The sequence below is a fragment of the Homo sapiens genome, chromosome 7, assembly GCF_000001405.40.
Source record: "Homo sapiens chromosome 7, GRCh38.p14 Primary Assembly".
NCBI lineage: Eukaryota > Metazoa > Chordata > Mammalia > Primates > Hominidae > Homo > Homo sapiens.
In genome coordinates, this window is record NC_000007.14 from 78,987,702 (window position 1) to 79,012,967 (window position 25,266).

At 35.1% G+C, this 25,266-nt stretch overlaps 1 protein-coding gene and 1 long non-coding RNA gene across 13 annotated transcripts in view; one reads left to right on the forward strand and one right to left on the reverse strand.

Moving 5' to 3' along the window:
* Window positions 1-25,266, reverse strand: part of MAGI2 (membrane associated guanylate kinase, WW and PDZ domain containing 2) — a 1,436,613-nt gene that overhangs the window by 970,647 nt on the left and 440,700 nt on the right. For all 12 annotated transcript variants that reach the window (XM_047421093.1, XM_017012845.3, NM_001301128.2 and 9 more), the window contains exon 2: window positions 19,389-19,505. In XM_047421093.1, the coding sequence (XP_047277049.1) occupies window positions 19,389-19,505 (117 nt within the window). The remainder of the gene's footprint in view (window positions 1-19,388; window positions 19,506-25,266) is intronic.
* On the forward strand, window positions 21,287-24,576 carry MAGI2-AS2 (MAGI2 antisense RNA 2). Its single transcript, NR_046689.1, has 3 exons — window positions 21,287-21,423; window positions 23,226-23,370; window positions 24,383-24,576. It is a non-coding gene; the product is annotated as an MAGI2 antisense RNA 2 (long non-coding RNA).

Consider the following 25,266-nt stretch of genomic DNA (forward strand, 5'->3'; position numbering starts at 1 on the left):
TTTTATTAAAAACAGTTTCATTTATTATTTTTAATAAAAGAAATAACCAGCATGTCAAGTTGATGTGTTTTGTTTGCACTGATTAAAAATGCAGTTAACATATTCTCTATATTAAATATTTTACGTTTTTATACACACACACACACAGGCACACACACACAGTAAAGGAAAAAAGATTTATAATTATATATCTTACTATTTTCAAGAACTGAGCAAGAGGTTAACACATTTTGTCTCAGGATTTGCTTTTATATGAAGGACGCTTTGGTTCGTATTAGTTAAAATAATGCTGTTCTATGCAGTGATATAACAAATGAGCGTCCAAATATTAATATAATGCTAACATTGCAAAGCTATAATCTGGCTTGTAAATTCAACGTGGGCCAGGACAGCCTCCATATTTTGTTGGGTACTGGACATGTGACTGTTAAGTTTCCTATAGAAGGGGACGAGAGATGAAGGAAGTTCACCAACTCCCTAACAGCCTTATTTACATCCATGTCCAGAACTAGTCACATGGCCCCAGCCCAACTACAAACAAAGCCACAAATTAGAGAGGAACACATGATATATGTTGAGGTCTACATTGAGGTCTATCATAATTGAGATTTGATTATTTTCAAGAAATTAAACCCAACCCAAACCATAAATTGGTTTGATTAAATCTGGATTGTTTTTATTTCAGGTGAGCTAAATTTTCACCATTAGCACAAAACAAAAAAATATAGTCACTAAATCCACCAAAATCCAGGAAAAAGCAGCTATTTCAACATGGAAGGTTCATTTTAAACAAAAGCAGAAAATATCTGAAAACATGCTCACTCTCTCTTAATCTTGCAATTAAACCCATTAATTAAAGCCCTGTGTTATTTTGCAGTACTCTAGCATATAATTGATCTTCTGTAAGCTAGCTATTGAAAGAGAATCAATAAACTTAAGCAAAATTTTACAACTTGGTGATATTTTACATGGTGGTGCTGAAAGCACTCTTTATTCACCGTGAACCTCTATAGCCCCATAATTACAATGAACTGACCACCGTGTAATCACCCCTCAGTGGAAGACGCAGAACTTTTATTCTTTTGAGGAGGATGACTATTTTTGAGTCTGCAGCAAGGTATTTCATTAAAACCAAGATATGGGGAAGGATACGTTAGCGCTAGGAGGAAAAATAAGATAAAAGGCCAAGATAGACAGATGATGACATAGAGTAATTGATCTGAATCAAGGTGAATCAACAACCCACTTTCAAGATGTGAAATAAATAACAGAAAATAAATAGTTGCATAACTCTGTAGTAATGTATATGCAGAGGTGCTTCGTGTATTTTTGTTTGCAACTATGTCCAGAATAAGTATGCATGGACATCTGAGTGGAAACTGTACTAGTAGAAAAATGAGCCAGAGACATTTTATTTCATTGACTAAACATCTAGATTAATTACATCAATGCTAATTACATTGTCTAACAGTAGCTGTCCTGCTGCTACTCTCATCTTTCCTGTAAATAAAAACTACCATTACCCCAAAGAATTGGCTATGAGATAAATTTCATTATGCTAGTCAAGGATTAACCACCCGTCATACTTTTATTACAGAAATATTTTGGATTGTAATTACCTGTGATGTCTTATACACCAGTAGGAAAAGTGCAAGATTCTCAAGGGAAGAGCTCTGATTTACTTGGCTGCTGCTGAACGAAGTTTTTGAAACATTTTATTCTACAGGGTTGATGGAAGACATGATAGCACAATGGGGCAAGGAGGAAAAGAAAACTCCAGAGGCTTGATTTTCAAAGATGTTACAGGCTGTGAATTTGAGATTGTTCTCAGGATTCTAGATTGAGAATACAACTCTCAACACACAGTTGATTCTGAATGCATCTTTTTCTACTCTTTCTTGTATTCTTAGCAGCCAGTGCTCCTCCCCCTGTATCCGAGAGTTCATACCTATATAATTCCAACCTGTTTTGCCTGCATGCCAAATTCTTTCTTTCTGCCTTTAAATATATACATAGGGTGAAGAAGTGGGGGAGTAACTGGTTGAGTCTCAACATGAGGCCTTGTTGCATACCACCGTTTTCAGCCTACCCACTATCCTTAGCTCAGGTTGCACTGATCCAAATAACTGTCACAGAACAACTCAGCTGCTGTTGCCTTTCTTGCTCTACTTTGCACTCTATTATCTATTTTATATAAATATTTATTCCATCCATCTACTGAAAAAATGTTCGCTCAACTCTTAAGGATGACCAAATTGGGTAGAATTCCAGAAGGTAGCTTCTAGCTTAGTTCACCAAGTGAACTTAGATTAATCTTCCTAAAATACATGTTTGTTTCCTTACCATCCTACATAAGGACTTGTAACAACCAAATTTATTGAACATTTACTTTCTGCAAGGCATTGCTCTGAGCATCTTAATTCATTTAATACTCCCAGTGTTTCTGTGAGATAGATGCTATTTTATTCCCATTTTACAAATGATGAAACTGAGTCATAGAGAGGATACTAGTTTACTAAGGCCACCTCATTAGAAAATAGTACAGTTGTGATTTAAATCCAGTAGTTTAGTGTGTTATGTTACATGACCATTCTTGGTCTAGTTGAGCTTTACTGGAAAAAAAATAGTAAGAAGAATATAGTTCAAACCTTCTAATCAAGTTTAAGACCCTCTGTAATCTTCACATCCTCTACTTATCCTGTCTTACCACCCAATTCCCTGAAACGTAGAAATTCCACCTCTATTCCTCTTACGCTCATTACAAGAACTGAGGATTTGCTCAAAAGGTCTTCTCAATCGGAATGTCCTTCTAGCTGCTGCCATCTATTCAACCCCACCTGGTTTCTAAAGCAACTTAAAATGGTTGCCTTTTCCCTGGAGGTTTTTCTGCCACTTACTCCAGCTTATAAGAATCTGTCTTCTACACTGCTCACTATTTTGAAAAAAATAATTTGGGGCTTTAAACATTTATTTTGTGATAGATAAAATAATAATAGAAAGGTACATTGATATGAGATAAACAGATATAAATAAAAGCATATATTTGAAGATAGACCCAAGCTGCATTAAAAATCTGTGTTCTATCATTTACCACCTATATGTAACCTTGAACTAAACGTAAGTTTTCCATCTGTAAATATCCACCTGCACAGGTGTTATGTATGTCCTATTATTTTACTGAAATAAGAGATTTTATATGTACATACACACACACACACACACACACACACACACACACACAGAGATATGGTTTGGCTTTTTGTCCCCACCCAAATCTCAACTGGAATTGTAATCCCCATGTGTCGAGGGAGGGATTTGGTGGGGGGTGATTAGATCATGGGGGCAGTTTCCCCCATGCTGTTCTTGTGATAGTGAAGGAGCTCTCACGAGATCTGATGATTTAAAAGTGTGGTACTTCCTTTTTGCTTGCTCTCTCTCTCTCCTGCCACCTTGTAAAGAAGGTGCCTGCTTCTCCTTTGCCTTCCACCGTGATTGTAAGTTTCCTGTGGCCTCCCTGGCCATATGGAACTGTGAGTCAACTAAACCTTTCTTTTATAAATTATTCAGTTTCAGTATTTTTATAGCAGGGTGAGAATGGACTAATAGACACACACATACACACACACACACACACACACCCCTACATATACACATCATATTTCATATAGACATAAATATATAGTTGTCTACATCTATATCTACACATAGAGACATATATAAACATATATACTAAAATATATGCTTAAATATACATTATAACATATATATCTATCTTATGTTCAGATATATATGTCTTATAATCAAGATAAAAACTGCATTTCAACTCTGGCTCTGCCAGTAAGTTATATAATCCTGGGATACGTACTTAATTTGCAAAGCTTCATTGTCCTTTTTTTTTTTTTTTAAATAATGAGGAGAACACTCATGAACTAATAGGCCATGTGCTTGATATAGCTAGGCTTTTTGGGAACACAGGTAAGGATGTACCAATCCAACTGTCCCTAATTATCTTAGGCTCTATTTACTAATGGATTTCCACTGAGAAAGCTATGGATCCATTTTTCTCAGTCTAAAAGTTTTGCTCAAAGATGCTGGAGACTTCAAACCTTTTATAGGGTTAAAAATGTGTACTGCTAACTAGCAAATTGTGACTAAGTTTTCCACTACAGGGGAACCCAAGAAAACCTTTGATATTTCAGGGATTGCCACAATATTTTTCCTTCTTTCTTTCCTTCCTACTCTTCTCTTAATCATAAGAAATCTGGAGCATGAATATACAAGAGCAGGGGTGAGCAAAATTCCAAGAACTATATTTGTATTTTTCAATTAAATCTTTAAGTTTGAGTCCTTATTAGTCTATGTCTTCATCAAAGCAACTAATCTGGTCATTATTGTTAAACAAAGATGAAATAATTCAGGTTTTGTAACAATTAAGCATTTCTCAAAGTCTTGAGGCTGGCTATAGACCTTAACTGTGATACAGAGTAGTTAGTTTACATTAGTCAGTTGTATGTATTCTGTTTACCCATCTGTAAAATGAGAATAATAATATATACCTTACTTGGATTTGAACTTGCAATAAAGATACATCCCTAGAGAATAGGACGTATGTCTTAATCACTCTGTATTTCCAGCACCCAGCCACTCATGTGTACATAATAGCTCTCATGTTCACTAAACTGAATTAAACTAAGTTACAATATATTAAAGTTTATACATTTTTAATCTCTTTAAATTTAATGGGTTATTAAGTGCATTGCTAACTGACCATTTTTTTTTGCATTAACAACCACATTTTTTATAACCAATGAATTTGGAAGATAAGTTGTTATAAAGATAGCTATATTCATAAAGAGAATAACATCTGGCCTATTTGGATACCTAAAATAAATTTTTTATTTTTGTATCAGAAAACCAGGTGTCTTTTTTCCAAGCTAATGTTAGGTCAACATATAGGCTTAAATACAAGTTTTCCAACTTGCTTGTAGTCATATTTTATTTGTGTGTACATTTTTAATGTATTTTATTCTACCTAAAGACTCATATCATGATTCTTTAATGAGCTTTGAGGCAAAGAAATAATGTTAGAACCTACAAAAAGCTACCCAATGTTGACCTCTGGTCACAGATGGGCCTTAGTGATGAAAGCATTTTACTTTTTTCAAACTATAATTAATTTTCTATAGTGCTTCAAATAATATATTCAACTTCTCATTTTTAATTAAGATTCTTTTTCTTGCTCCAAATTTAAATTATGTTCTGAAAGCAATTTTTGTCAATTGCTTTTTCATGTGAGAAATATGATTATGAACTAAATTTTGTTAGTGTCACATTCATACTTTTAAATAATAAAGTTGTGAATAAAAAATGAACAAAAACTCATGTACTTAAAGTGTCTCATACTATAAGCAGAACAGAACAATTACAGAATACACTGATAATGCATAACTATCCTAGTTTTCTAAAGAAAAAATACATTTCTTAGTAGCTTATAACCAGTTAGCATAATATGTATGTATAATTAGGAGCCAGAGTATAAGTAGAAAAGTAAAAACATTAATTAATAAATACACTGTAAATCTTTTAAATAAAATCTGATAACAATTATTTATGTTGTTAGTCTTTGACAACATAAAACAAGGCATTTAAAACTTAGAGCAGTCTTTTAATAAATAATTTTAAGGTGCTGGTACTATATGTATATTGGATTATCCATAAAAAGAAACATGTTTAAAGGTAAATTTCCTTTCAAAACCAAAGGACTTACAGACACAATGTTTTTGCAGGAGGGCTCTACTGTTCATTTCCTGGCTTCTTAGGTGTCACAGGAAGTTGTGGCAATTCCAGCCACAGTAGCAGTTTCTCAATTAAGTCTTTGTGACATCTAGATCTTAGTTGCCATCCTCAGAGGCAGCAGTTATGCTGGTGGGGCAGTTCTGTATTGTTTATTATTCCTGGGGATCTAGTCTGCAACCTTCTTCTGTTGTTCTTTCAGCAACTTTCTAAACAACTATTCCCCTAAACCTTGTCCTTCTTAAAACACCTTGCATGGTTTTATTACCTGGGCTGAATCCTGAATAACACATTACTTATACTGTTTTGCTTCGTGAAATAGAAAGAAAAAATAATCTTTGACATTGAAAGCAATAAAAAAAAATAAGAGCTTCGCAGAAGTTAAGCTTGGCTGCACGCTCAATGAATGGCTCCCTAATGGTTTAATTTGCTCAGTCATCCCAGATATCACTCTGCATATTAACCTGAATCCCCTGAGCCAGAATTGGGGCATTTTTCCAGGAACCAGGGAGGAAGCTGGAAGGTCACGTGTGTATATCTCGATTCTGTATGTGCCTAGTGAAGGGATCCAGCTTGTAAGTTTTGTCAACTTGTGTCACCATATTATTGCGCCCAAAGAAAACCAGTAGGAGTCTTGGAGATCTGAGAAGCTGTCATTACACTGAGTCTCAAGTGACAGCTGAGTCAGTACAGAGCCAGCTATGCTGAGATGGGAGACTGTTGCTTTTCTTCATCAAAAGAAGGGCTATTTGTTCTATTATAATGACAGGAATTCTGAAGTGAACAGCACTGCTGTCTCTGTTTTGATTACCTCCAGATGAGAATGAGAGGAGACATGCTGCTGTTAAATATCAGCTACTAACCTTGGTCTTTTTGGAGTCTTTGGGAGAATGACCTCAGTGGTGCTTCTGAAGAGCAGTTATGGAAATAAGTGTGCAATTTAGAGGTCTTATTTAACCCACTACCATTTTCATGATTTTTTCCCTGCTTTTGTGGAAACATTAGACAGTAAATATAGATACACGTTCATGTAGTCTTCTATATTCTGGAGCCTCCTAAGATTTGCTCAAAGAACTGTCAGAGAAACCAGACCTATAGTGACTAAGGAGGTAACATAATACATCACACAAATGGATATAGGCATCAGATAGACCTAGGTTTGAATTCTCCTCATCCATTTACTAGCTATGTGGGTTTGGGGAAGGGTTTGTATAACCTCTCCAAGCCTAAGTTTCCTGGTCTGAAAAATGGGAACCACAACACATTTCTCAGAGGACTAAAAAATGCAATGACATGATAATACTTGCACGTAGATGTTTGTTAAATGCTGGTTCACTTTCTTCTTTCCATTCTATCCCCATCACCCCCACCCTGATTTGCAAAATAAGTGTTTTAATGAAATGCAAGGATGAAGAACTGGGGACTCTTATGAACACCTATTTATAAAATTTTATATCGTTAGAATTTTAGATTTAGATTAGAATTCAGGTTATGAAATGCAGGTAGAAAGTCTAGTAGAGCTGACATCAAAATGTTTGTGCAAGAAGAATTCAGAAAGTTAAAAAAATAAAATAAAAGGTTTGCAGGGATGTCCAATCTTTTGTTTTCCCTGGGCTACATTGGAAGAATTGTCTTGGGCCACACTTAAAATATACTAACACTAACAAAAGCTGATGAAAAAAAAAATCACAAAAAAATCTCATAACGTCTTAAAAGAGTTTACAAGTTTGTGTTGGGCTGCATCAAAGCTGTGTTGGATTGCAAATGGCCTATGGGCTGTGGGTTGGGTAAGCTTGGTTTAGATAATGTAGATTCCTTTGTATATTTAATCTTTCTTCCTATATCAAGGTAATAGCTTTAATTACTGAAATAATATAATTATCAATTAACAATTTCTTTTTCTCCCATTAGATATATTACAATATTTCTAGCAATTATGTGCTAAAGAAAAGATAATTTGGAACCTGATTGATTAGTGACCAATCAAGAGGTTCATGTTAAGATGAAAATAACTGACTTGAAGCTAGTCAGTCAATCGACCTTCACTCAAAAACTTCCCTGATAATTATCCATATGTTTTTTCAATTGTGGGTCAATTGAAGATACGTTCATATCTTCTTCACAATAAATATACATCTTCTATTACTGGAAATAGACTGTAATAGTCTAATCTATTTAATTTTGATTCAATGTCTGTTGCTGGTAGACTTCATTGCTTTTCTTTTCTTTTCTTTTCTTTTTTACCATAGGAGCATCTCTGAAACTCTTCAGAAGCATGCTTATGGTTCTGACTTTCCAGAGCTTCTGTTACAGAGCTGCTTTCATGTAGTGCGAACTGGAAGCCTGATCCACCTGGGATACACTCCCTCTTTCTCTGCTGACTTACTGCCTGGTATCAGTCTGGTTAAAAGACCTCAGAGCCTCAATTTCCCACATGTCTTCAAAGATGGGAAATAACACTCACCTTATGGGAACACTATGAGAATTCAATGAGATAATATCTGAAGAATATTTCTTGCACATAGGAAATGCTCAGAAAATGGTGGCTGCTATTTACATACTTGTTTTAGTTGATGTTCAGGGAGTTTCATACTTAGGAATGGCCCTGGCTGGAGACCCACCAACCATTCTCCCTCTGGGAACAATAAGATGAATTGAATTCAGGATATAAAGTCTCAGGTTTCCTATAAATATGCATATATCTTACTGATCTGTAGTTTTTTTCATCAGTGTCAACAAATTAAAAAGATAAGAAGAGCTGAGGTAATGTGTGTTGTAAGATGTATGTCACCTAATGTTAACTTTGTGGTCTAAACTGTTGAGCTATCAAGCCAGATTCCCAAATCTTTTGTCACTGAAGTGTTCTGAGATATACCTTGATGTTTAGAAGAAAATAGCAAGCTCACACAGGAACAGAAAAGCAAATACCACGTGTTCTCACTTATAAGTGGGAACTAAATGGTGAGAACTTAGGGACACATAGAAGAGAAAACCTCACACTGGGGCCTTTCTAAGGGTGGAGGGTGGGAGGAGGGAGAGGATCAGGAAAAGTAACTAATGGATACTGGGCTTAATACCTGGATGAATGAAATAGACTGTACAACAAACCCCCATGATACAAGTTTACTTATGTAACAAAACGGCACTTGTATCCCTGAACTTAAAATAAAAGTTAATAAAGAAAAATAAAACTACAAAAAGGAAAGTATGTTCTACCTCTTCTAGGATCGACTTTAAAAACTTTCCATTCCCTGTAGTTGCCAATTCTGCAGGTACTAGTCCTCTGGAAATAAGTATGTTAAACTGAAGGAATGGGAGGAACGCTCCACAGAGTTTGTTTTCCAAAGAAAATTATTGTTTAGAGAAGCAAAATTAAAAGTCTAGCTAGGTGTGGTGTAAAGCTGTTCAAAAAGTAACTCAGAGCAAGACCTGTAAATTGAAATGTAGTGCCCGAGTCATATTCTGCTTAAAAAGGTTGTAACAAATAAAGATGAGTTTAAAAAATGACAAGGTAAATCAGAATTCCTACTCAAAATGGGAAAGGACAAATATACATAGGTTGACATTAGCTCCCCACATTAGTCTTGTCTTTGGAGGACAAGTTAAAAAGTTATTATTGATGCATACAAGTGGGTCTTGTTGAGCAGCAAGTGAAACTATTGTCTTTATTAGAATGGAGATATTGTGCAGATATTTGCCGATTTTGCATGCAGAAAAAGCAACTTTCTTGCCTTTAAGTAGAAAAGATAACAGCTTAGAAGAGAAACTGGGAAACTGAGAATTGATCCAATTCCAAACTTCTGATTTTTGTAATAAAAGCGGGATCCAGCCAGGCATGGTGGCTCATGCTTGTAATCCCAGCACTTTGGGAGGCCTAGGCAGGCGGATCACTTGAGGTCGGGAGTTCAAGACCAGCCTGACCAACATGGAGAAACCCTGTCTACTAAAAATACAAAAATTAGCTGGGCATGGTGGTGGTCGCCTGTAATCCTAACTACTTGGGAGGCTGAGGCAGAAGAATCACTTAAACCCAGGAGGTGGAGATTGCGGTGAGCCGAGATCGTGCCATTGCACTCCAGCCTGGGTGACAGAGCGAGACTCCATCTCAATTAAAAAAAAAAAAAAAAAGGCAGGATCCATGTGTATTTCTTAAAACAGAATTGACTGTTGATCACATATCAGTCTTACCTTTTAATTAATCTGTGTGAAAAATCTGTTGATTCTCCTAAATTTTTCATCTGTGCTCTAAAGTCCTTGATTACACTAAGCATTGATTTAGCCTCCCTTTAGCTATATCTATTTGGGCTTCCAACCAGAGTCATTCACTTGCATAAGTGACACTTATTAAAATTCAACATTAGAAGGCACTATATTCAATGTTAAATATCATTTCATAAAGATTACAATAACATTTTTATAACAATACACCTCATGCTTCAGAAGTCTTTATGTCACATCTCAACTCATTCCATCTTCTAAAGGAGGAGAGCAATTTTAAAAGCTTTGTATTTCTCATTATGTTTATTTTCCCATCCATTTACTAACGCTGGACCATATTTCAGAGTTTCATGAATAGTGAAGGCAGATTTCAAGGGACATCAGAGTTATGATGGCATCCTTAACTTGACATTCATAGAAAAATCTGAAAGTACATGCATGGCTGGTTTTATCCAGAACTGCACTTAATTTAAACGCACCTCTTTATGGTTTTCTTTCCCTAAAGTGTCTGCTGTATTTGATATATCTTCAGTTTCCATAAGCTGTTTACACCTGCTCAATATCAAGGACATTCCATACTCAGAATAATTTAAGCCAATTTGATGAGTTGAATAATGATAAAATACAGAAAAGTAAGCCAGCAGAATCAGAAAACCACAGGATTTTAGAGCAGAAAGAGCCATTAGAGTTCATTTTACTCCCCCCTCCCTCCCCTGAGTCCTAAAGTTTAATACCTTTGCCAAGGCCCTATAATGAGTTAGTGGCAGAACCTGTTCTAGAACCAATGGCTTCCAATTCTTGGATGAGTGCTCTTTTCTTAGTTTCATGTTACAAATAGATAAAGCCAAGGGTAGTTGCTTCTTACCATACTCTAGCAATGCTATACTGCAATGTGTAAATAACTTGGACAAGTGATCTGGACATTAGAATAGCAGTGACTTTAATTAGTATTCCTTTGTCATTGTTCTTTTGGCTAGGCGCATTTAAATCAGAAATTGATCACCCTAATATAAACTACCGTCTTTAAGTCCCATAAGAACACTGTTATCCATTGCCATCTGTCTATTCCTTTCCTTCAGCAATGTAATCATCTAATAGCTAAGACTCTGGAAACTTGGGTAGGTCTGAATCTGATGGAATCCTATTTTTTTCTATTCAAAATGTGCAGTGGTGTACAGTAAGATGTGTTGACCTTCTTACGTCCAGCAAGGCTATGATTTTGGAGCCTGCAGGGAGCAGATTCTGAGTTCCCTGAAAGGTGCGTTATTTTCCATCAAAACTGTTGACTGGCTTTTCCAGAGACAAAATATAGCCTCAGAACTCTCTCCCCATTTATTCCTTGGGCAGCTTCTAGGACCACTGAAGTCCAAGGGTGTATATTTCACCTGCGTTTATGATCAATAGCCCACAAACCAATTTCCTATGGAAAGCCTCCCTCCTATGAAAAAAAGGAAAGAGAAATACAAACTAAGAGGGAAAAAACAAAGGAAAGATTGTGTCACAGCAGCAGAAAAGCCAATCAAGTCAGGGCAAAGGGAATTTTATGTGGTTGCGAAGATCAGTAAGATCGTATACTGTTGGTGCTTATTCCTTTTTTTTTTTCGGTGCCAAATATGTTCCTTTATTCTCAAACTAGTGTCCTGTGGTGTCAAATTGATAAATCAATACAATCACTTTTAATGTTCCTTGATTTTCCATCTTAAGCAACATTTTGAAGCCATTTATATTCTGTAGAGCACTCTGTCAACCAAACCAATGAATGTTACTCTGTGACCAGGAAAGATACATTCATTTTGTTTAATCGAAAGAAGAAATAAATCTATAATACTTTCACATATATGACATGAAACTAGATCTTAATGTTTTCAGTAAGAAAGAAGGTAAACCTAATATAGCTTTCCGTAAAGTAATAACACATTTAATAACTATGCCAAGGGCATACATCGAGATGAGTAAACAAGTAGAATACTTTCAAGTATATGCTACTGTTTAGAAGCTTTTGAAGTTTTCCCTTGGTCTAGCCTCCCAGGCCAGTTTATATGTCTCCCAAGAAATTAAGTTTCGTTTGTTTACAGACTTCCTTTCTTTTTGGTTAACACTGCTAACAACCATATTTATTCTCTAATAACCCTTATTCTTCACAACACCAAATATAATTAGTCTATAAATATCAAATTCATTCTCAAATTTTCAAAGAACAAAAATCTGGCAGCTTCATTCTGAAGTAATCACAAAAGAATATGCTTTACACTCTAAAAGGAATTTCAAAAAAGAGTTGCCAAATTGATGATTCTTATTTGAGGCAATAAGATTAATGTAGAAACAGATGTACGATATACAGCTGTTGCAATATGTGGGTTGAAAGTTGTAGTTTGCTTTAAAATTCAGTTGGATATATTGCTTCTACTCCTCTGTCTAAACGTGGAGCTACAGTTCAACTTAACATCCCAGAACTCAAAGCTATATTACTTAAAGATACTCTCAATACATACCATTTTTGATCATTTTTAACTCAGGGAATTTCTTTCCATTGGAATAAGATGATTGCTTTTTTGGTGATCTAATCCACAGGTTGATGTCACTCTCCCTTCTTACAACATGTTTAGAAATAAATGTACCTTCATAAATAAAGTCACAAATAATTAGATTCATTCATATCCACAAAAACACATTGCCTTGTTAGATGTTAACACGTATTTTTACAACCTTTATAGTACTAATTTTTGCTTGAGAAATAAAATTATTTTTCCCACAAAGTATACTAGAAAGCTCTGCTCTAATTTTAGACATTTTATTAGATATGTGGCCAACGAGCCTCACTCTAACAGTCCTCTGTGATCATAGTCTTCTAGGGATTATATAATTATGAAAAGGGGATGCTGACTCCTTGCATAGCTATACCTTTTGGTGTGTTAGTAACTGCTATTCTTAACAGGAGATGGTTTCTCATAATTTTTGAAGAGCCTGCTTTTCTGTGAAACAAATTTGGCATAAATATCAAAAATGTTAAAGATATATTAGAAACTTTACAGTTTTACCCTTGATAATGCTTCTTTTTAGTGTGTTTTAGTTTTACTAACTTAAAGGGCTTAAATATGTAGAAACACTATTGTGAGTTACAATCAGTGTAATTCAGCGTAACTCAGTGTAATTCAATCAGGTCTTCCACAAAACTAATTTCTTTCATATCCCAAATCTATGTTCACCTTATTCACTGTTTTTTGAGATGGAATCTTGCTGTGTTTCCAGGCTGGAGTATAGTAGCATGATCTCAGCTCACTGCAACCTCCGCCTCCCGGGTTCAAGCAATTCTCCTGCCTCAGCCTCCCAAGTAGCTGGGACTGCAGGTGCACACCACCATGCTCATCTAATTTTTGTATTTTTAGTAGAAATGGGGTTTCACCATGTTGGCCAGGATGGTCTCGATCTCTTGACCTTGTGATCCTCCTGCCTCGGCCTCCCAAAGTGCTGGGATTACAGGCGTGAGCCACCATGCCCGGCCACTTTATTCACTTTTTATAAAACAGAATTAGAGTTTAGTTTTGTTGATTTTTGTCTTTTACTTGGTATACACTGGTATTTGTTCTGGCTTCAAATAAATTTTAAATATTTCCCAATAAAACTGTCTCACCAAATGACAAAGAACAGTCTTGGGAGAGAAGTTTAATTTTAACCACCTTCCTTTTCATTTTGAAACTTTTAAAATTGGTCATTGAAGTCCTTCTCCACATTCTTTGGTATAATGGAAAATAGTGTCTAAAATTTATATCTGTTCTTATACTTGCTTCAAAAATTAATTTGTGTCTCTAATAAATATCAAAGCTAGAAAGGACTAGAACTTTACCAATAAACAGCCGTGATTATTTTTTCCTCATATTTAAGAAGCATGTCAGTTTAATTGTGGTTGATTAGACTCAAGAGTCAAATATATGCAATCATTATGCTCAGTAGCATATTAAAACCAAAATAAACTCCATTTTTGCTCTTTAAACATTTGCAAATTAATCCAATATTCTTCCGTATTAATTCTATTAATTTCTTTCATATATTTTCGAATCCATATTACCCAAGAGACAATGCATGCTGCCTTAACTTTGCACATTTAACATGCTGTGATGAAACAATCCTGTTTAATCATCTCTAAATAAATGCTGCTAACTTATTGCTTCTGGAATTGCCTTTTGTGTACTATGAGGGTAATTGAAATCCCATGTGATGGATGTTCTAAACTCTTTCAAGACTTTTATCTATATATGTTTTTCATGGTTAGTCTTTATCACATTCTAGATGACAACGGTTTTGTCTCATTGTCATTTTCTCCCTTCTCCTGAAGTTCAATTACATACAAATCTTAAAAATCTTATATAGCCTGAAATCTAATCGTAGAAAGATTCATTCACAGGCTTCTTCTTCTTCTTCTTCTTTTTTTTTTTTTTTTAGACAGAGTCTCACTCTGTCACCCAGGCTGACATGCAGTGGTGCAATCATGGCTCACTGCAGCCTTGACTTCCCGAGCTCAAGTGATCCTCACAAGTAGCTGGGACTACTACAGGTGCATGCCACCATGCCCGGCCAATTTTTAATTTTTTTTTTGTAGAGATAGTGTTTTCTTAAGGGGTCTTGTAGAGATGGGGTTTCCCAGGCTGGTCTCAAACTTCTGGGCTCAAGTTCCTAAGGATCTTTTCCTTAGGAACTTACTGTGGAAATAATGAAGAATCAATCTCAGCCTGTGTATTTGCACACACATGAGCATACACATGCATGCATACTCATGCTCTCACTCATTATGTGCCCAACAATTCTTCTTTTTTAGTAGCTATAAAATAAGTTTATTATCAGTTAGCTACCAAAGAATAGTACGATAGTAGGATAGTGAAATAATTATGAAAAGTATATCTGGGAGATAAAATTAGAACTTGAAAATTCCCCCAAAACTGTAAAATAAACTCAACATTTACAGGCTTCAATGAGAAAAAAAAAATCTCCAAACATTTCCATTGAGAAACTGCACAATTGTCTTCTTAAGATGTAAGTTTTGTTACAGAACTCAATATATAGTAGTTTCATTACAGAACTCAATATATGCCCAACAATTCTATTTCTGTGACCATCTCCTTCTATTCTAAGGGATGTGGCTTTTATTGAAAAGTGTGTGTGTGTGTGTGTGTGTGTGTGTGTGTGTGTGTGTTGTTTGCTTGTTTTTTTTTTTTTTAGAATTAGGCGGGCTCTGAGATAAGGTTCTAGGGAGACAAAATACAAGGCTAAATACAGTCAGTCCTTGTTTATGGGGCATGGAACAGATTGATGGGCTTTTTGTATTATTTGTAGTTAAGGGTCAGTGGAGACCTAGACTAACCACCTTCCTCCCCTGCTTAGCTCAGAAATCAGCAAGCAGCAGGAAACAGGCTTCCTACCAAGGAGAGTGCAAGGACCAACTTGTCCACAACTAGATTGACTGAGTATATGTATATGTGTGTATGTAGCAGGTGGTGGGGGGGAGGTCTTTGGAGCCCTAGCTCTAGAACTCTCTCTTACTAGGCACCAATAAATTCCAGCTCCAAGATGTGCCTCCTTTCCTTCCAGATGTAGTTGGTGGTAGAGTAATGTAGTGGTTGTAAGCAGAATTACTCAGTTAGGTCTTGTTTTGTGAAAAAAATTTATTTACTCTTATATAGTTATAAGTCACTACAATTTTGTTTCAATGGAGTTATCAAGGACCTATTCCTGATGCCAATGCTAGATTAAACAAGGAGTGAATGTATCATTAATGCATGCATGTATAAGAGCAATGATATAGTCTTCAGTAGTCTGTTTTCCTTCTACGCTGCTGGGTTCATGAAAACCAATGAGAATTTCTTTGACCAAGGAAAATGTGTAACAAATGTGATTCCATACTCAATACCAACAGATATGCTGGATACTTATTTAAGTTTCTAACAATGGCAGGATTTTTCACATCATGGACACACTTCTACTGCACCCTTTCTGAACATATTTGAAAACTTCATTAAAGGATATACTGAGTGAACAAATAACCCAACTAAGAAATCAAATAATCCCATTAAAAAGTGGGCAAATGACATGAACAGACATTTCTCAAAAGAAGACATGCAAATGGCCAAAAGGTATATGAAAAAATGTTCAACATCCCTAATCCCCAAATAAGTGCAAATCAAAACCACAATGAGATATCATCTTACTCCAGTTAGAATGTCTATTATTAAAAAGAGCAAAAATAACAAATGCTGGTGAGGATGCAGGGAAAAGGGCACTCTTACACTCTGTTGGTAGGAATGTAAATTAGTGCAGCCACTAGGGAAAACATATGAAGATTTCTCAAAAAACTGAAATAGAATTGCCATATGGTTCAGTAATCCCACTACTGGGTATTGTTCCAAAGGAATAAATATAGGAGATCAGCATATCAAAGAGATTCCTGTACTCATATGTTGATTGCAGCACTATTTACAATAGCAAAGACAAGGACTCAACTGAAGTGTCCATCAAGGGACAAATGGATACATAAAATGTGGTATATATAGATGATGGAATACTCTTCAACCATAAAAAAAATAAAATCCTGTCATTTGCAGCAACATGGACAGAAGTGGAGATCACTATGTTAAATGAAACAAGCCAGGACCAGAAAGACAAAAATAACATGTTCTTACTCATATGTTGGAGCTAAAAAAGTTGATTCCATGGAGATAGAAGGATGATAGATAACAGAGGGTTAGGAGAGTGAGGAATTGGGAATGAAGAGAGGTAGATTAATGGGTACAAATATACAGTTAGATAAAAGATAGAAGTTCTATTATTTGGCAGAAGAGTAGACTGACTATAGTAGACAACAGTGTATTGTATATTTCAAAGTAGCTAAATGAAATAAATAGAATTGTTCCCAACACATAGAAATGATAAATATTCAAAGTGATGGATACCTCAAATACCTTGACTTGATCATTACACATTCTATGCATGTAACAAAATAAATATGTACCCCATAAATATGTAAATTATTATGTATCAATTAGAAATTCAAAAAAGATACAGGAAGAAAAAAATTTTTTTAAAGGTATACTGAGTTGGGCCGGGCGTGGTGGCTCACGCCTGTAATCCCAACACTTCTGGAGGCCAAGGCAGGTGGATCACCTGAGGTCGGGAGCTTGAGACCAGCCTGACCAACATGGATAAACCCCGTCTCTACTAAAAATACAAAATTAGCCGGGCATGGTGGCACATGCCTGTAATCCCAGCTACTCAGGAGGCTGGGGCAGGAGAATTGCTTGAACCTGGGAGGCAGAGGTTGCAGTGAGCTGAGATCGCACCATTGCACTCCAGCCTGGGTAACAAGAGCAAAACTCCATCTCAAGAAAAAAAAAAAAAAAAGATATACTGAGTCAAGATGGTGGATCATCCAGGTCAATTAATCAGTATAAAGCAATTTTTATAATATAAGTTAGAATCTCTGTATTTTTGTTCACTTTTTTGCCAAGTTAAAAACTTCATTAGTCAATAATGTTATTGGAATTGGCTACTAGGAGAGATGGCTGAAAATTCAAAGAATAATTGTTTCATCGTGATATTCAAATTGAGTTTCTAATCATCTCCTTTATAGGAGCTATCCAAGGATTTCCAATTAAATTTATGACCTTGTACTGAAATTACATCTTGAAGCTCTTTATGTTTACTCATATAAGTCTAGCTGTTTTACCCTTATATTTACTTTTCCTTCGTAGTCTTCTTTGGTACTCTAAAAGGAGATGCTCTATTTAAGAAGTTAATTAACTAATGCAAAATTTACTCCTATTATCTTCATATTTAATTAAGACTTTCTTATTTATGTCATCGCCTTAGCAAGGACTACATGTATTCCTGAATGTCAGCTTCTTATCTATTTTTCTCAGCTTTTAAACATAATAAACAGCCTGGTTTCTTTATTCAGTATTTCAGATCTCCTTTCTTTCATGTCACAAAAGATAAATTCACATTGCTGCACTGACAACATCATAGCTTTGAAAATGCGTCCACCCGTTACCTTATAAATAGTTCAGTCACTTACTTTAATCCATCTTCCTTTGTCCATCACTCTAATGTCAAACTTACAAGTTTAAGAATGCACTTTTCTCAACTTCCAGAGTTAAACCATGGGTCCAAAAGCCTATTCACTTAACTAACACACACTGACAGAAGTATCATTTTGACTGACAAAATGCCAATCATCAAGTATTCTCATTTAGGAAGATTTGATAATGGTGTCCTGGCATTGTCGTTTTGATGAATATTTAGTGCTAACAATGGCAAAAGTCCACCTCTCCTAAAAGGTGGGTAGGTCAATAGGGCTGGGTGATAACCTTTCCATCTTGACATCTCTGTGTGTTTTCATTATTTCAGTATAATTATCCAGTATCTATTCCAGATAATTATAGTTACATAACTCTGGTGGTTCAACCCTACATAATAATTTTTTTTGTTTTGCTTATTTGTTTCACTTATACCAGCCAACTTTTTCTTTATTTAATGTTATCCTTTCAGGACTCATAGCTTTGAATTTATTTAGAACGGAACTAAAAGAAAAGAAACTCACACAACATCCACAGCCCAGAATTTCTAGAGAGTGGAAAGTGTCTGAAGTGCATGGAATCTGCCTTGAAGAAAATGGATTTTTGATATCAATCTAAGATCTAGAACCTGAGTTTAAAAGTCCTTCATTTGTCTTAAAGTTAATAGAGGATTTTCAGGTGAGCTGTAACAGACACTAAAAATTGTATCATTTTACCAATTCCTCTCCTTGGAAGGATAATCAGAAACGATTGTTTATGGATATCTATAGGTTACATATAAGAAATTTACCCCAACATGCTTTCTAAGCATCATTGCTTTCTAAGACTTGCAGAACACTCAGCTTTACTTTCCAATGTGCACTTTTCTTTTTACTTGTGAGACTCTCCTGTTGCAAACAAGAGATGAGGTTGGGAGTCACTGTGAAGATTCTACTCACAGAATAGCTGTTTCAACTAATAAATTAAATTTGCATTCTCCTGTCTCCCAATGTGGAGTTCTATCTCCATCATAATTCATTCGGAATCACCAACAGTCTGGACTAGAATCAATATTTCTCAATACTAACTTCAGAAATGTAAGTTAGATTTTATAGCTTGAAAATCACAAGTTTCTTCTGGCTACAACTTCATCATAAACCATACTACTGCAGTTATAAGCATTTGCACTTAAAATTGCCACATCTCAAATAAGTTTTCTGTTCCAAAAGCCCACTATAAAAAATAAGTGCAATTTCACTTTCTTTTAATCAATGAATATATAGCTAAACATTTATCTCTCAACATAAAAATATTAATACTGCCCATTGTACTCACATGGCACCGTGCGGAGGTAGAGGTTGTCACGAATGATTTGCTGAAGCTCATGGTCCACAGAACCCTTTTGAAATCGTAAGTTGAGGTAGTGACGAAGGTCTTTATCAACAATTCCTCCTAAAAATAAAAAAAGTTTCTTGGTAAGGGATGTTGGAAAATATTTTAAGCATGTAATTTGATTCTGTCATCAATATACTCAGGAACCCATTAAAAAGATGCATTATTTCAAAGTGTTCTTTTGATCTTCTCAAACATTTACTGCCACAATGATAACAGAGATAACATTTACTGAGACAATAATTGCCTGCCAAGTCTGTGTTCAATGCTTTGCATGTATTCCTAAATTTATCCTTCATTTAGAATGAAGCCTATATCATGGTAAAAGATATGTTACTCTTGAATCATACTGAAATATTATAGTACATCTCATTGCATGGCTAAAAAGACTATTTACTCATTTATTCATTCCTCCCCATTCCATCCTACCCCAAATCCTGGAAACCACTTTTCTGTCTATAAATTTGACTACTCTAGGTACCTCATATAAGTAGAATATATAATATTTGCCCTTTTGTGACTGGCTTATTTTACTTAGCATAATGTCTTAGAAGTCTGAAAAGATTTTTAAGTTATTGAAAGTTGCTCTAGATTTAGTTAAGTAGGATGGTATAAAAAGTTAAAGAAGAAAAACCTACACAAATATTAATGATTTTACTCCTTTTATGCAATAAATAAAAGGAATTTCTTTATTTTGTAGTATATCTACAAATGTTTTTAGCAAGAGACAAGGTTTGAAAGAATGTAGGGTTTTTTTTTCCTTTTTTCAATTCAAACAATTTTGCGACTGTTTGACCTTATAATCTAATAAAAAATAAACTGGGATATAGTTAAAAAGCCAATAATGTAGATCTATCAAATACTTATTTGATATTTAAAGATGACTTGTTAACTTATAAAGATTTATCTTAAAACCTTTCCTATTTCCATACTGGAAAGAATTAATTATAAATCAAAATACCAGTAAAAATGTAAGTAAGAATTCCTGAAACTCTTATTATTTCAATCAAATATACTAGGGAAATTGAGCCAAGACAAACAATTAAAGATAGAAGAAACAGGAAATCTGCAATAATCATAAAATTATATTCCTTCAAATCCTTCTGAGTCTCAGAATTAGAATTCATGAATCTATTTGCACTACCATGATCACACAAACTAGCATTATGTAGGTGTGCACAGGTGCAAAACAAACAGCTTTGACATAAACTGTAGCTAATAGACTTACATATTGTAACATTTCTAAAGTTTTCAAAATCCATCATTTCAGTTGCCTCCTAATCTGCAGGTATAGTCTCAATAAGATGCCATTTTTAACTGCAAGATATCATTTTCAACTGAATTAACTGTCAAAATTCTTACCCTCCAGATGATGTTTCTTTCATATTTGAGCAAATGGTCTCTTAATCTATTTTTCCACCCAATATAATATGATAGTGGAAATCAAATGACATAAAAGAAAAACATTTTTTGTTGGGTGTACATAAATATTACATCCGGAATGGCTGAACATATAATTTTCCAAATTCAAATCCATTTTCTCAGCCAAAGAAGCAGAGCAGTCAGAAATAAAAGTCATTTGAAACTGCCATTACACAATTGCAACAATTACCTATTATTTACTTCTCCAAATGCCCTGTGTTTCCATGTGTCTTGGACTTGCTGGCACCACACTAAAATAGCTAATAGTTTAGAAATCCTGAAATTCTCTTTTTCTTCTTCTTCTTTTTTTCCAGTCAGCAATACTTGCTTACCCTTGCTAATTTATCACACCTACTGAGTAAGCATCATGCCTGTGACTGCTCTCAGCTGTCATTTCTGCCGGATTCTAAGGCTACAGGTCCTTTGGCAACTGCACCCCCTCTTCCTTCTCCTTTTTTTTCAATCTAATATGTGGGACATACCAAGTGATGAGATCCTTTCTGGCATCCTAAGAAAATGCCAACTATAGAACAACAGATGTAGTCTCCTTATTAAGGTAAGCCAGAATCACTCACCTAATGTAATGTGGATAAATTCACATTTTGTAGTTCAGGATGATTCTTATCCCTAAAAATATATTATCAGTTTAAACCTTTTTTTTTCTTTACTACAGATATACTGAATTACATTTCTTGAAAGTTATCTACCTCAGAAAACAACAAAAAAGTCTATTTATTCATTTCAATGACTGTATCTTTTTTTTCATAGAAGAACTGTCGAAACTTTTAAGAATCAATATAAAATTTCCTTCACTAATTAAATGAGTTGTCATAAATTATAACAAAATTTCACATACAATCCCCTTTGTTTTGGAAGGATTTCTCTTTCCTCCTATTTCCCAAATGCTTTATTATCCTTTACAATTTATCATAAGCATCTTTCAAGTCAGGCAATTTTATTAATCCAGTATTCTTACAGCAAATTCTGCTAGTTGCCTACCCAATATTCCTCCCATTATTCTTTCCTTTTAAAAGAGCTCTGATTTAGTTTTGGGCAGAAACCTGCTGAGCCTCAGGACATGGATCACAGTGGTCTGGAAAGTCATTCAATCATTCTCCACTTTCCTAACTGCCCTTGCAGCTTCTAGCAGCTATGTTCTGGCCATTGACACTTAGCCCAGAAGGAAATGGACATAATATCTGAGATGTAGCAGCCATATTCTGACCATGAAGTGAAGTGACAAGCACAAGGAAAAATTCACCATGCTCAGGATACTGGAGTAGAGGTTAGAAACAGCCTGCATTCCTAATGGCTTTACTAAACAGCTAAAAACAATGTCAGTAACTACATATCTTAAGATTTCTTGTTATATGAGAAAAAGTAAACACTCATTAAAAAAACTATTTTGATTGAGCATTCTTTTAAAACTAATATAGTTGAACAACTGTACCTGATCCTAAAACACACATATATATATACACACACATGTTATATGCATATGTATATATACACATATATTTTTGTGTATGTATATATACACATATATACACATATATAGATGTGTATAATACATGTGTGTATACACAGTATGTGTGTATAACACATGCATGTATATGTACAGTATGTGTGTATATACACGTGTTATATGTATGTGTGATACATATGTATATGTATGTATGTGTGATACATGTGTATATGTATGTATGTATGTATATATAATGTATACACATACACATACATAGGTATAAAGGCATATTTATCCTCAATTAGAAATTTCAATTAGAGAGGAATTAAACAACAGACATTGGGCAATGATGTCCTCAAAAAGTAGAGTCTGAGTCTCAAAATGATCTGATTTCAGGTTTAAAAGTTAGCCTTTTAAAGCAAGCTAAAAAATACAGAGTTCTAAAAAGTGTACAATAAATGTTATCTATTGTTAAAATAAATAATTTGCTATCTTATTTTCCATACTTATAAATTTTTTATTTTATTTTTAGTGTTTGTAGAGTTTCTGCTCTATCATTTGTTAATGATTCCTAGATTTGGTAGTTCATAGGATGCACACATCAATCGTTTTGTTGAGCAGAGCACTGGCAACATTAATGTCTCGTTGCATGCTTTAGCCATTTGTACTTTTTCCTTCAAAAAAATCAGTGGCTCTTACTTGCCATTATATTTGAATAACTATTGACTTATTTAGTTATGTGAAAAAAATTTTATTTCCTGTATTTTTAAAAATAAGACTGTAGACAAGTATTAAATGCCTTCTGAAGTGACACTTTCAGTAAATGAGAGAGCTGGAAAGGATTTGAAACCTACAGTTCCAAAAAACATGTACCTAATTTTCATCCTCTATAGTCTGAAGACCAAACTTCTTAGTGCAAAGCAGTCAAGTCTTTTCTCAACATGACCCCAATCAAGCTTTTGAACTTAACATCAAAATATAACTTCAGAAGAACGTTTGGAATAGAGCTCAGTTCAAACTCTTCCTATTGCAAACGAGGCAAGTGAAGCTCACACAAAGAGTATGGTACTGGGCTTAGAACAATGGTGGGGTGGGGAGTGAGGGAAGCACTGGGGAGCAACACCTATGGTCTATTTGAGGAGAAAACACCAAGTCCCAACGTTCAAAACTGGGCTGCATTTCTAAGGTTTCCATCATTTTCAGGAATGCCCTCAGTAGAAATTGACTGCTTTGTCATTTCTATTACTTGAATACGTAGACTGAGGAAACAAAGGAAGAAGATGCTGCTTGGATTGGAGAGACATAATCTCCTTGGTATATTCCTTAAGGCAATTTGTTAGCTCCAGCATTGTAGCAAATGCCACTCTTTCAAAATTTGAGGGAGAAACATGCTAGGGTCTATAATGTTTGTGCCAAGTGTCTGGTTGCTAGTAGTCCCATCTAGTAAAGTAGTGTCATCTCTCACTCAGACATGACCATCAGCTCAACCTTCCCCTCCCCTTGAGTCAACTGCTTCTGGAATGAAAGCGTACCTTATAAACTTTTATCAGTGTAAACTGGAGAAAGCAGTTCACTAATTGGGATAGTAGGGGTTAAATAGAGAGGGGAAAGGTGGGGATGACCACCAGGGTTTGGCTCATTTTGATGTAATCTACTCATCCTGTGCTTCAGTCAAAGCAAACTACTCTAATGTTCTAATCATCTTATTTATTTTTGTTTGTTTTTCAATCACACTCAACAAAATACTGTGGTGAATATTTAATTTTAGTTTGTGCTTTACTTTTTGCATTCAACTTTGCTCTTTATCTTGTACCACGTTCTTTTGGTAGAAGATCCTTCCTTCCTTCCTTTCTTCCTTCCTTCCTTCCTTCCTTCCTTCCTTCCTTCCTTCCTTTCTTTCTTTCTTTCTTTCTTTCTCTGTTCTTTCTTCCTTTCTTCTTTCTTTCTTTTTCTTGTTTTTTATTGAGTAGCTATATCATTCAGTACATGTAGTGGGTCTTTGTGCTGAGCTACTCTGCCCTTACTTAGTCAATCAAAATGTTTCTTCCAGGAAATGGCTATAGAAGCAGAGTGCCCAAAGAATGCGAATGCAACTGGCTTCATCTTGAAAGCGACACTCTGAAGAAATTACCCATAATTTCTCCCTCTTGGACATGCAGAATTATCCTGTTCTTGTATTTTTCTGGCCAGCTTCTCCAACTTTCCCTTTCTTGTTTGCAACTAATTAAACTTTATGGATAAGAATGCCTTCCCTTTGCTATTATCCATGGAATTTCTGTCCAACCTTCAGGCTTAAAATTATTCTGTAGTTGGCCTTCCTATGATCTTTGAGCCGGAAGTCTTCTCTCTGCTCTGAACTTCCACATCTTGCTCATTTCTCTTTAGTACTTTGCGCATTATAACAGGCCAAACTGTAATTTGTGGACCTGTTTTATATTTTCTATTATGTTACAAGCTTCCCAGGAGAGAGTGTTTCCTATTCATTTTATATCTTCTCCCCTCTTATATCTTCTTCCACGTCTAAAGCAATGTGTTTTTAACATACAAGGCCATGAAACGTATGCTAAATAAATAAATCACAAATGCTGTAGTAGAAAGAACACTAGGTTTTCAGTCAGGTAAACAAGTTTTAGTTACCATCCCAACACTTATTCATTAAGTGGTCTTGCACAAATCATTTCTGGACCTCATTTTTTCTCATCTATAAAAGGAAGGTGGCTTAGTTACTTAAAGCTGCTATAACAATACCATAGATTAATCTGTATTTCTCACATTTTTGGAGTCAGAAAGTCCAAGATTAAACCAACAGATCCGGTGCCTGGTAAGGGCACTCTTCCCGGCTTGCAAATGGCCATCTTCTCATTATATCCACACATGGCCAAGAGGAAAATAATGTTTCTTTTTATAAGGGTACCAATCCCATTCATGAGGGTC